Here is a 12,631-nt window from a genome sequence, read left to right as displayed (position 1 = left end):
AAAAAGAATCAATGTGGTAATAGTGAAAGAAGATCGACAAGAAGGACTGAACCTCGTGATCCAGCTCCCAGTGGGGTTCCTGAGGCCTTTCACAAACATGTGTGGGAAATGGTCAAGATTGAGAAGAAACTCTTTCAAGTTTACCTTGACAGGAACACAGTGGAGAGTATTGCCTAGGCCTACTAATGAGCTTAAGGGCCGCAGAATTGATTCAGGGCTGTATGGGGAAGCCACTGTGATAGGGATCAAAGGTAAAGTCTGGTTCAAAGTTGGAATGTGTCATTTTTAAAAAATGTATAATGTATATTGTGACAGTGTCTCCTTTACCTGAATGCTAATAAGGGTATGGATAATAATGTCTGAATGGAAACTTCTTTCCCTGCTGAGTAAAATGAAATAAGGAATGACATGTACATCTTTCTCCAATTGGACATGCAAAAATGAGAGCCTTTACCATTACCCAAGCCAATTCACATAGTACGTCTGAAACTGTATCAGAGACCTGGGCCAGGCACAGTGGTTCACGCATGTAATCCCGCGCTTTGGGAGGCCGAGGAGGGTCACTTGAGGCCAGGAGTTCAAGACCAGCCTGGGTAACATGGCAAAACCCCATCTCTACAAAAAATACAAAAATTAGCCGGGTGTGGTGGCAGGCGCCTGTAATCCCAGCTACTTAAAGAGCTGAAGTGAGGCTGGGCGCGGTGGCTCATGGCTGTAATGCCAGCACTTTGGGAGGCTGAGGCAGGCAGATCACGAGGTCAGGAGTCTGAGACCAGCCTGACCAACATGGTGAAACCCCGTGTCTATTAAAAATACAAAACTTAGCCAGGCATGGTGGTGCATGCCTGTAATCCCAGCTACTCAGGAGGCTGAGGCAGGAGAATTGCTTGAACCTGGGAGGTGGAGGTTGCAGTGAGCCGAGATTGTGACATTGTACTCCAGCCGGGGTGACAGAGTGAGACTCTGTCTCAAAAAAAAAAAAAAAAAAAAGAACTGAAAGGGAGGACTTGCCTGAGCCCAGGGAGGTTGAGACTGCAGTGAACCATGACCGCACCACTGCACTCCAGCCTGAGTGACAGAGTGGGACCCTGTCTCTTAAAAAAAAAAAAAAAAAAAAAAAAAAAGACCTGAAGAGCAACAAGAAATTGTTTCCTAATTAAGGAATTTTTTTTTGACAATTTTATAACTTTATATGATGTATTTGACAATCAGCGATTAGTTCTCATCCACATTGTAGATTTTTGAAAGTAGTAACAGGTACATAGGTAACCAAAGTATAGAGCTTATTTGGTGAATCTTCAGCCTCATTCTATTTTCTGGACAACCACACACAGACATGGTATGGGATATTCCTTTGGCCCAGACAGCTTTGTTGAGCCTGGTATCAATGTGCATGTCTAGAGTTCCCATCTCCTTCATGGCATATTTCTGAATTTCTTTGAGTGCCCGAGGGGCACGCTTCTTGAAGCCCACTTCATGGATGCGCTTGTGAATGTTGATGGTGTATTCTCGGGTCACCACCTCGTTGATGGCAGAATGGCCCTTTTTCTTCTCACCACCCTTCTTTGCGGGAGCCATTCTGCCGGGTCTCATTAATGAAATATTAATGCAGGTATATTACGAATAAAATGTATATACAAATAGTATGCACAAACTCACTGTATGACACCCTGGTGTGGCCAGTGTGAGAGGCTGACAGATCATAGAGACTCATGGTAGACTACAGGGGATTCAACCAAACAGCAACCCCAAGTAGCCTCAGAGGCCCGGAATATGGTGCAGACTATGCAACTTACACAGCAAACTGAAAGTGAAGTGACTGGTATTCCACAGCTGATCTGGCTAGTCAATTTTGCTCCATGTCAGTTGCTAGACAGCCAATAATAATTTGCATTTATGTGCGATAGTCTACAATATACATGTGCTCTTGAAAGATATTTGAACTCTCTTGCATACTGTCACAAGCTGGTAAGGTGAGACATAGAGCTAATATAACTGGACATTATTCTAGTATGCTATATTGATGATATGATTTTCTGGGAGATTATGGGTTAAGCTAAAAGCAATCATATTTATTTATTTATTTATTTATTTAGAGATGGAGTCTCACTATGTTGCCCAGGCTGGTGTCAAATTCCTGGGCTCAAGCGATCTTCTCGCCTCAGCCTCCCAAAGTGCTGGGATTACAAGCGTGAGTCACCTCACTCAGCCTAAAACAACTTTATTAAGCTCATAATCAGATTAGGGATGGTTAATGAACTGCAAAAATCCAAGACCCACACAGACTGCAATTCGGGAAGAATTACATGGCTTTCAGTGACCTATGACCTACCACATGCAGACAACTTGGAATACAATGTCTCTCCCCACCCCTCAGAGTAAACAAGAAGCTAAATGCCTAGTGGGCCTATGTGGCTTTTGGAGACTCATATTCCTTACTCGGCCTCAGTATATAAAATCATCCAGAAAAGGGATCATCTTTGATTGGCTGGAACAGCTTCTTAGGTCTGCAGAAAATTGTAGCCCAACGTATTCTATTAGAATATGATCCCACCACTAAAATAACATGAGAAGTGTTGGCCACCCACACTCATGGCAGCTGATTCTCTAGCAAAAGCCTATAGCTGCTTGCTAGGCATGATGACTCATGCCTGTAGTCCCAACAACTTGGGAGGCTGAGATGAGAGGATCGTTTGAGGCTAGGAGTTTGAGACAAGCCTGGGCAACAGAGCGGGACCCCATCTTGAAGAAAATAAGAGAATTAAGGAAATAAAAAAACTTAGCCAGGCGTGGTAGCACATGTCTGTGGTCCTAGCTACTCAGGAGGCTGAGGCAGGAGGATCCCACTTGAGGCAAGCAGGAGGTTGAGGCTGCAGTGAGCCATGACTGCCTCATTGCACTCCAGCCTGGGCAACAGAGGGAGGCCCTGTCTCTAAAAAATAAATAAATAAACATTGGCGAGGTGCAGCGGCTCATGCCTGTAATCCCAGCACTTTGGGAGGCCAAGGCAGGCAGATAACTTGAGGTCAGGAGTTCGAAACCAGCCTGGCCAACATGGTGAAACCCTGTCTCTACTAAAAATACAAAAAATTAGCCAGGTGTGGTGGCATGCACCTGTAATCTCAGCTACTTGGGAGGCTGAGGCAAGATAATCGCTTGAACCCAGGAGACGATGGTTGCAGTGAGCCGAGATCATGCCACTGCACTCCAACCTGGGTGACAGAGCCGGTCTCAAATAAATGGATAAACAAACAAACATCGGCCATGTATTGTGGCTCATGCCTGTAATCCCAGCACTTTGGGAGGCCAAAGCGGGAAGATCACCTGAGGTCAGGAGTTTAAGACCAGCCTGGCCAACATGGTGGAACCCTATCTCTAACAAAATACAGAAGTTAGGTGAGCATGGTGGTACACGCCTGTAATCCCAGCTACTCAGAAGACTGAGGCATGAGAATCACTTGAACCCAGGAGGCAGAGGTTGCAGTGAGCCAAGATCATGCCACTGCACTCGAGCTGAGGTGACAGAGTGCGACTCTGTCTCAAAAAATATATATTAAAAATTTTTTAAAAAATAAATATATTCAGGAACAAATAGCCTCTCCTCCTAGGACTTACTCTAGAGATGTCCAGGGACCTGCCTGCTACTATTGCCATATGTACCCCTCTGTTCAACCAATTGCCAGAGGATTCCAGGCAACTGGCTGGCCCACAGATTACAGTTTCAGAATCACAGGCCATAGATCAACATGGAGAGCTGCTACCTGAGTCCAGGAGATTGGCAAACACAAGCTGACCCAGGGGCTATATTCAGCGCAGTAATTGATGAACTGGACACAGATAAAGGACCCATTGGTTGGCTGCAGATTGACACTTGTCAGTGGACTTGCAATGTGGCTTAAGTGGGTTCTTACGTTACTGGAGAATACAATGCATCCCCTTGTGGACTACTGCCCTTGGGAAACCTCCATGGGAATTTAAAAGGCAAGTGAGACCAGGTGCAGTGGCTCATGCCTATAGTCTCAGCACTCTGAGAGACCAAGATGGGAGGACTGCTTGAGGCCAGGAGTTGGAGACAAGCCTGGGCAACATAGCAGGACTCCATCTCTACAAAATAAAAAAAAAAAAATTAGCCAGGTATAGTCGCACACGCCTGTGGTCCCAGGTACTTGGGGAGCTGAGGGAGGAGAATCGCTTGAGTCCAGGAGGTTGAGGCTGCAGTGAGCTATGATCGTACCACTGCACTCCAGCCTGGGGAACAGAACAAAACCCCGTCTCTGAAAATATATATAAAATAAATAAAATAAAAGGCAAATCAAAGCAGGGCATGTCAATGCTCACCAAAAGAAGCCTTATGCCAGGGTCTGAAGGTGGCCAGAATCAACAAGTGAATACCTAGTTTATTTTTTTATGAGATGGAGTCTCACTCTGTCACTTAGGCTGGAGTGCAGTGGAGCGATCTTGGCTCACTGCAACCTCCGCCTCCTGGGTTCAAGTGATTCTCCTGGCTCAGCCTCCTGAATAGTTGGGATTGCAGGCATGCACCACCACATCCTGCTAACTTTTGTATTTTAGTGGAGACAAGGTTTCATCATGTTGGCCAGGCTGGTCTCAAACTCCTTACCTCAAACGATCTACCTGCCTCGGCCTCCCAAAGTACTGGGATTACAGGCATGAGCCACTGCACCTGGCCCCTTAGTTCATTTTATTTATTTATTTTTGAGGCAGGGTCTTGCTCTGTTGCCCAGGCTGGAGTGCAGTAGCACCATCACAGCTCACTGCAGCTTCAACCTTCCAAATTCAAGTAGATCCTCCCATCTCAGGCTCCCAAGTAGCTGGGACCACAGGCATGTGCCACCACACCCAGCTAATTTTTTTTTTTTTAGTAGAGATGGGGTCTCCCTATGTTGCCCAGGCTGGTCTCAAACTCCTGACCTCAAGCAATTCTACTGCTTCAGCTTCCCAAAGTACTGGGATTACAGGCTTGAGCAACTGCACCTGCCCTACTTCAATCTCATAAAGTAGCAATGTGGGTCCATAAAATGAGTGGGCCCGGGGCACTCGTGCCATGAAGTGAGGGGCTGAGCACCATGTAGTACTTTCCCTGCAGAAGTTCAAATGTTTACTAAACATTGCTCTGTTTACCAACAGAAAAGGTTATGTTTGCAGTTAGGTCTGGGAGTATTTCCTGGGGAGGAAGTCCAGCCCACAGCTGGCAAGTAGATGATACTGGCCCTTTACCCATTTTTCCAAGAGAAATTAAATGGACACCGACAGGTCTGCATGCATACTCTGAGTTTGGCTTTGTTTTTATTTTTTAATTATTTTTAGTTTTTACAGGCAGGGTATCACCTGTTGCCCAGGCAGGAGTACAGAGGTGCAATCACAGCTTACTGCAGCCTCAACTTCAGAGGCTCAGGCGATCCTCCCACTTCAGCCTCTTGAGTAGCTGGCACTACCAGTGCATGCCACCAAGCCTAGCTAATTTTTTAATTTTTTTGTAGAAATAGGGTCTCACTATGTTGCCCAGGCTGGTCTCAAATTCCTGGGCTCAAGTGATCCTCCTGCCTCAGCTTTCCAAAGTGCTGGGATTACAGGCATGAGTGATCACACCTGGTCTGTTTGGCTTTGATAGCCATATTGGTTTGGCACTCTCAGTTACGTTTTCCCAGATCAAGACACTCAATCCACAGCCCATGCCGAGCAACAATGAGCAAAGAACCAGCATATTCGATGGACTTATCACATTCTTTATCACTCTCAAACTCTCAGGTTAATTGAAAATTAAAATGGGCAATTAAAACACTGTCATGTCTGTAATCCCAGCACTTTGGGAGGCCGAGGTCAGGAGATCGAGACCATCCTGGCTAACATGGTGAAACCCCATCTCTACTAAAAATACAAAAGTTAGCTGGGCATGGTTGTGCGCACTTGTAATCCCAGCTACTTGGGAGGCAGAGGCAGAATCGCTTGAACCAGGTTGTGGTGGGCAGATCGCTTGAGGCCAGGAGTTCCACATCAGCCTGAGCAATCTAGTGAGACCCCGTATCTATAAAAAATTTAAAAATGAGCCAGAAGTGGTTCATAGTGGTTAAGTAGCTGTAGTCCCAGCTACTCAGGAGGCGGAAGGGGGAGGATCATTTGGAACCCAGGATTGAAGGCTAGAGTGAGCTAGGATTGTGTCACTGCACTCCAGCCTGGGCAAGAGGGAAACCCTGTCTCAAAAATAAAAAAAAAAACTGAGGAGACGTGATAAAGGAGTGACACTCAGCCTACAACCACCCGGCATTTTGTTCAGAGAAGGACTAAGTGTAGGACTCTTTGGACAAATTATTATGCTTTTGTGGTGGGAATTGGGGAAAGGAGGAGGGGTGTGATGGTTAATATTGAGTGTCAACTTGATTGGATTGAAGGATGCAAAGTATTGTTCTTGGGTGTGTCTGTGAGGGTGTTGCCAAAGGAGATTAACATTTGAGTCAGTGGACTGGGAGACGCAGACCTACCCTCAATCCAGGTGGGCACCATCTAATCAGCTGCCAGCGAGGCCACAATAAAAAGTAGGCAGAAGAACGTGAAGAGATTAGACTGGCTTAGCCTCTGAGCCTACATCTTTCTCCTGTGCTGGATGGTTCCTGCCTTCAAACATCGGACTCCAAGTTCTTCAGCTTTGGAACTCAAACTGGCTTCCTTGCTCCTCAGCTTGCAGATGGCCTGTGATGGGACCTTGTGATTGAGTTAATACCCCTTAATAAATTCATATATATATATATATATTCTATTAGTTCTGTCCCTTTAGTGGACCCTGGACCCTAATACACATTTTGGTACCAGAAGTGGGGTCCAGAACAGGAGAAGGCTCTGCAACAGGTCCAGTCCACTGTGCAAGCTGCTCTGCCACTTGGGCCATATGACCCAGCGGACCCAGTGGTGCTTGAGGTGTCAGTGGCAGATAGGGATGGTGTTTGGAGCCTCTGGCAGACCCCCATAGGCCTCTAGGATTTTGGAGCAAGGCCCTGCCATCTTCTGCATATAACTACTCTCCTTTTGAGAGACAGCTCTTCACTTATTACTGGGCTTTGGTGGAAACTGAACATTTGACTATGGGTCATCAAGTCACCATGAGACCTGAACTACCTGTCATGAACTGGTGTTTTCTGACCCACCTAGCCATAAAGTGGGTCGTGCACAGCAGCATTCCATCATCAGATGGAGGTGGTATATATGTGATCGGGCTCCAGCTGGTCCTGAAGGCACAAGTAAGTTACATGAGGAAGTGGCTCAAATGCTCGTGGTCTCCACTCCTGCCACCCTATCTTCTCTTCCCCAGCCTGAAATGATGGCCTCATGGGGAGTTCCCTATGATCAGTTGACAGAGGAAGAGAAGACTAGGGGCTGGTTCACAGGTGGTTCTGCACGATATGCAGGCACCACCCAAAAATGGACAGCTGCAGCACTACAGCCCCTTTCTGGGACATCCCTTATGGACAGCAGTGAAGAAAAATCTTTCCAGTGGACAGAACTTCAAGCAGTGCACCTGGTTGTGCACTTTGCATGGAAGGAAATGGCCAGGTGTGCGATTATATACTGACTCATGGGCTGTAGCCAATGGTTTGGCTCTATGGCCAGGGACTTGGAAGAAGCATGATTGGAAAACTGGTGACAAAGAAATTTGGGGAAGTATGTGGATGGACCTCTCTGAGTGGTCAGAAACAGTCAAGATATTTGTATCTCATGTGAGTGCTCACCAAAGGGTGACCTCAGCGGAGGAGGATTTTAATAATCAAGTGGACAGGGTGCCTCATTCTGTAGACACCACTCAGCCTTTTCCCCAGTCACCACTGCCATCGCCCAATGGGCTCATAAACAAAGTGGCCATGGTGGCAGGGATAGACTTTCTCAGCAACATGGACTTTCACTCACCAAGGCAGACCTGGCTACAGCCACTGCTGAGTGCCCCATTTTCCAGCAGCAGTGCCCAACACTGAGCCCTTGATATGGCATCATTCCTTGGGTGATCACACAGCTACATGGTGGCAGATTGATTATATTGGACTTCTTCCATCATGGAAAGGGCAGAGGTTTCTCCTCCCTGGAATGGACACTCCAGATATGAGTTTGCCTATCCTACACGCAATGCTTCTGCTAAGACTACCATCTGTGGATTCACGGAATGCCTTATCCACCGTCATGGTATTCCACACAGCATTGCCTCTGACCAAGGCACTCACTTTACAGCTAGTGTGACAGTGGGCTCATGCTCTTGGAATTCACTGATCCCACCATGTTCCCCACCATCCCGAAGCAGCTGGATTGATAGAATGGTGGAATGGCCTTTTGAAGTCACAATTACAATGCCAACTAGGTGATAATACTCTGCGGGGCTGGGGCAAATTTCTCCAGAAGGCCATGTCTGCTCTGAATCAGCATCCAATATATGGCATTGTTTATCCCATAGCCAGGATTCACAGGTCCAGGAATCAAGGGGTGGAAGTGGAAGTGGCATCACTCACCATCACCCCTAGTGATCCACTAGAAAATTTTGGCTACCTGTTCCCACAACATTACATTCTGCTGGTCTAGAGGTCTTAGATCCAGAGGGAAGAAAGCTGCCACCAGGAGACACAACGATTCCATTAAACTGGAAGTTACGATTGCCACCTGGACACTTTGGGGTCCTGCCACTTTTAAATCAACAGGCTAAGAAGGGAGTTACAACCTTCTGGGATGATTGACCCAGACTATCAAGATGAAATCAGTCTACTACTCCACAATGGAGGTAAGGAAGAATATGCATGGAATACAGGAGATGCCCTGTGATTAAGGTCAATGGGAAACTATAACAGCCCAACCCAGGCAGGACTACAAATGGCCCAGACCCTTCAGGAATGAAGGCTTGGGTCACTCCAGGAAAAAACCTGCTGAGATGCTTTCTGAAGGCAAAAAGAATACAGAATGGGTAATAGAAAAAGGCAGTCATCAATACCAGCTATGACCATGTGACCAGCTACAGAAACGAGGACTGTAATTGTCATGAGTATTTCCTCCTTTTGTTAAAAACATGTTTGTGCATATATAAGCTTGTACTAAGAATATTTCATTTCCTTTTTCCTTTATTGTGTGAATAACTTATATTGACTTCATATAAGCATCTAAGTGTTAGTTTTATATAAGGGCATTTGGGTTCAGGATTGGTGCATTTCCAGTTGTATGAAGAATACTTTTATTATTATCTTAGGCACAATTATGACCTTATTATTATCTTTATTTGAAGATTATGTATAATTTCAGAAGATGTGTATGGGTTAAAGTTGACAAGGGGTGAACTTGTGATGGTTAATATTGACTGTCAACTCTATTGGACTGAAGGATGCAAAGTATTGTTCCTGGGTGTGTATGTGAGGGTGTTGCCAAAGGAGATTAACATTTGAGTCAGGGGGCTGGGAAAGGCAGACCCGCCCTTAAACTAGGTGGGCACAATCTAATCAGCTGCCAGTGTGGCAAAAATAAAAATGAGGCAGAGGAACATAAAGAGGTGAGACTGGCTTAGCCTCCGAGCCTACATCTTTCTCCCATGCTGGATGGTTCCTGCCCTAGAACATCGGACTCCAAGTTCTTCAGGTTTGGGACTCAGAATGGCTTCCTTGCTCCTCAGCTTGCAGACAGCCTATTGTGGAACCTTGTGATCCTGTGAGTTAATACCCCTTAAGAAACTCCCTTATATATATACATCTATCCTAACAGTTCTGCTCCTTTAGAGAACTGTGACTAATACGAAGGGTGACAATAGAGGAATTTATATGCTAGACTTTTATACTTTACCTCAATTTTCATTACCTTTTGAAGAAAAAATGTTTCACATAATAATCACATAACAATAATTTATTCAAATTTATTAAGGCAGGAGCTGGGCCTAAAGAGGGTGCTGAGAGGCAGGAGCTGGGCCTGGAGAGGTCAACTGAAGGAAATTTTTGGCCTAAGGAGGCTGCCAGGAAGCAGGAGCTGGGCAAAAACAGGTTGTTGTTAGGCAGGATTTGGGCTCATAGAGGCAGCCAGGAGGCAGGAACTGGATCTTTATAAAAGGGGCAACGTAAGGCAGGAGCAGGGCCTGCAGAGTCTACCAGGAAGCAGGACCAGGGCACAAGAGGCTGACATGAGGCAGAAAGTTGCCCTTGGGAGGCCACTGTGAGGCAGGACTCTTGAAAGGACGCAAAGCTGGGCCTGTAGTGGCTGCTAAAAGGCAGGAACGTGGTCTGGAAGGCCCTGGTGAGGAAAGAGTTGGGCCAAAAGAGGCCACTAGGAGGCAGGAGCTGGGCCTCAGGAGGCTGCCATAAAACAGGAGCTGGGACTCGGAAGGCAGACATGAAGCAAAAGCTGGCCTTTGGAAGGCTGATGAAAGGGAGAAGCCGGGCCTGGTGAGGTTGACTTGAGAAAGTTTGGGGCCTGGAGAGATCCATGGGAGGCAGGAGCCAAACTTGTAGACGCTACTGGAAGGCAGGAGGTGGGCCTGGTGAGGTAAACATGAGGAAGTTCTAGGCCTGGAGAGACAAGTCGGAGAAAGGAGCTGGGGGTAAAGAGGCTGTTGTAAGGCTTGAGATAGGCCTGCAGAGGCGGCCTGGAGGCAGGAGCTGGGCCTGGAGATGCCAAATTGAGGAAGTTTTAGGCCTGCAGAGGCCGTGAAGAGAAAGGAGCTAAGCCTGGAGAGACCGATGAAAGGCAGAAGCTGGGGCTAGAGAGGCCATTGGCAGGCAAAAGCTGGGGCTAGAGAGGCCATTGGCAGGCAAAAGCTCGGCCTCTGGAGGCCGCAAGGAGACAGGAGCCGGGCCTGGTGAGGTTGACTTAAGGATGTTTTGGTCCTGGAGAGGCCGGGCCTAAAGAGGCTGTTGAAAGGATGATGCCAGGCCTGTAGAGGCCAACAGAAGGCAGGAGCTGGGCCTGAGAAGCCCAAATTAAGAAAGTTTTAGGCCTGTAAGTTCCCTAAAGAGGCAGGAGCTAGGCATGCATGGAGAGGCTGCTGTGAGGCAGAAGCTGGGCCACTAGAGGTTGCCAAGAGGCAGGAGAATGGCTTGAAGATGTAGCAGTGAAAATGAGCTGAGTCTAAAGAGGTCATTGTTAGGCAGAAGCTGAGATCCTAGAGGACACTCAGAGGTACAAGTTGGGCCTGGAGAGGTCGACTGGAAAAAATTATTGACTTAAAAAGAGCACCAAGGCAGTAGCTGGGCCTGGAGTGGACACAGGAAGGCAGAAGGTGGGACCTGGGAGGCCGCCATTAAACAGGAGCTGAGTTTATGAGGCAAAAGCTGGGCCTTAAAAGGCTGACCAGATGCAGAAGCTAGGCCTGGTGACGATGACGTGAGAAAGTTCTGGGCCTGAAGGGACAATGCAAACGCAAGAGCTGGGCCTAAATAAGCCATTCGAAAAATGGAGTTCGGCCTCAAGAAACTGCAGAAAAGCAAAAGCTGGGCTTGGAGATGCTGCAACGAGGCAGGCACAAAAATGGTCTAGCAACTGGAAACAGCTCTGGGCCTGGAGAGGATGCCGGGAGGCGAGAGCCGGGTCTGGAGAGAGGCCGCCCACAGGCAGGAGCTGGGCCTGAGGCGGCCAAGCCGAGGCACGAGCTGGGCCCGGAGGGGCCACTGTGGGGCAGAGGCCGTGCCCCCAGGGGCCTACGCCAGGCAGGAGCTGGGCCTGGCGAGGCCGACTTCGGGCCGCCTCGGGTGGGCCCGCACAGGCCATCAGCGGGAGGCAGGAGCTGGGCCCAGAGGGGCCGACGTTGAGGAAGGGAGCCTTGGGCTGGGAGACGCCGTCGGGCTGGGCGGGAGCCGGGCCTGGAGAGGCCGCCGCGAGGCACGAGCTGGGCCTGGAGGGGCCCGCGTGAGGCAGGAGCCGGGCTCGTGGAGGCTGCCGGGAAGCCGGCACGAGCATGGCCGGGGAAGGCCGCCACGAGGCAGGAGGCAGGCCTGGAGAGCTGGACCGGAGGAGGCTTCGGGTCTACGGAGGCCGCTGGGAGCTGGGCAGGAGCCGAGTCACAGGAGGATGTTCAGAGGCAGGAGCTGGGCCCGCGGGCGCAGCCACGAGCAAGGAGCTGGGCCCGGAGAGGAGGCCGGGAGGCGGCCACTGGGCTGGCAGAGGCCGACTTGAGGAAGTCCTGGGCCTGGAGAGGCTGCCAGAAGGGCAAAGGTGGGCCTCAGGAGGCCGCGGCGAGGCACGAGCCGGGCCTAAAGAGGCCATTGGGACGCAGGAGTCAGGCCCGCGGAGGCCACCGAAAGGCAGGAGTGTGGCCTGGTGCAGGCCGTGGTGAGGCACGAGATGAGCCTAAAGATGCCATCGGGAGGCAGGAGCCGGGATTGTCGGGGCTGCCGCGAGGCAGGCGGAAACGTGGCCCAGGGAGGCCAACGTGAGGCAAGAGCTGGGCCTGGAGAGGCCGCTGTCAGGCAGGAGCTGGGCCTCTCCATGCCACCGGGGAGCCAAAGGCAGGGCCTGAAAGGCCTGACTTAGAGGATCCTGGGGTTTACAAAGGCTGCCAGGAGCTGGGCAGGAGCTGGGCCGAACGTGGCTTTTGCGAGGTAGGAGCTGGGCCGGCAGGCACAGCTGAGAGGGAGAGTTGGGCCTGGAGAGGCCGGCTGGAAACAGTACT

At 49.2% G+C, this 12,631-nt stretch overlaps 1 long non-coding RNA gene and 1 pseudogene across 1 annotated transcript; both read right to left on the bottom strand.

Annotated features, from left to right (window-relative positions):
- Nucleotides 1,238–1,589, bottom strand: RPL31P38 (ribosomal protein L31 pseudogene 38; annotated as a pseudogene).
- LINC02604 (long intergenic non-protein coding RNA 2604) lies at nucleotides 9,862–12,039 on the bottom strand. The gene has a single exon (NR_136637.1). It is a non-coding gene; the product is annotated as a long intergenic non-protein coding RNA 2604 (long non-coding RNA).
- Nucleotides 12,040–12,631: the final 592 nt, after the last annotated feature.

Source organism: Homo sapiens, chromosome 7 (assembly GCF_000001405.40).
Source record: "Homo sapiens chromosome 7, GRCh38.p14 Primary Assembly".
Taxonomy (NCBI): domain Eukaryota; kingdom Metazoa; phylum Chordata; class Mammalia; order Primates; family Hominidae; genus Homo; species Homo sapiens.
This window is presented reverse-complemented; position numbering and strand designations above follow the sequence as displayed.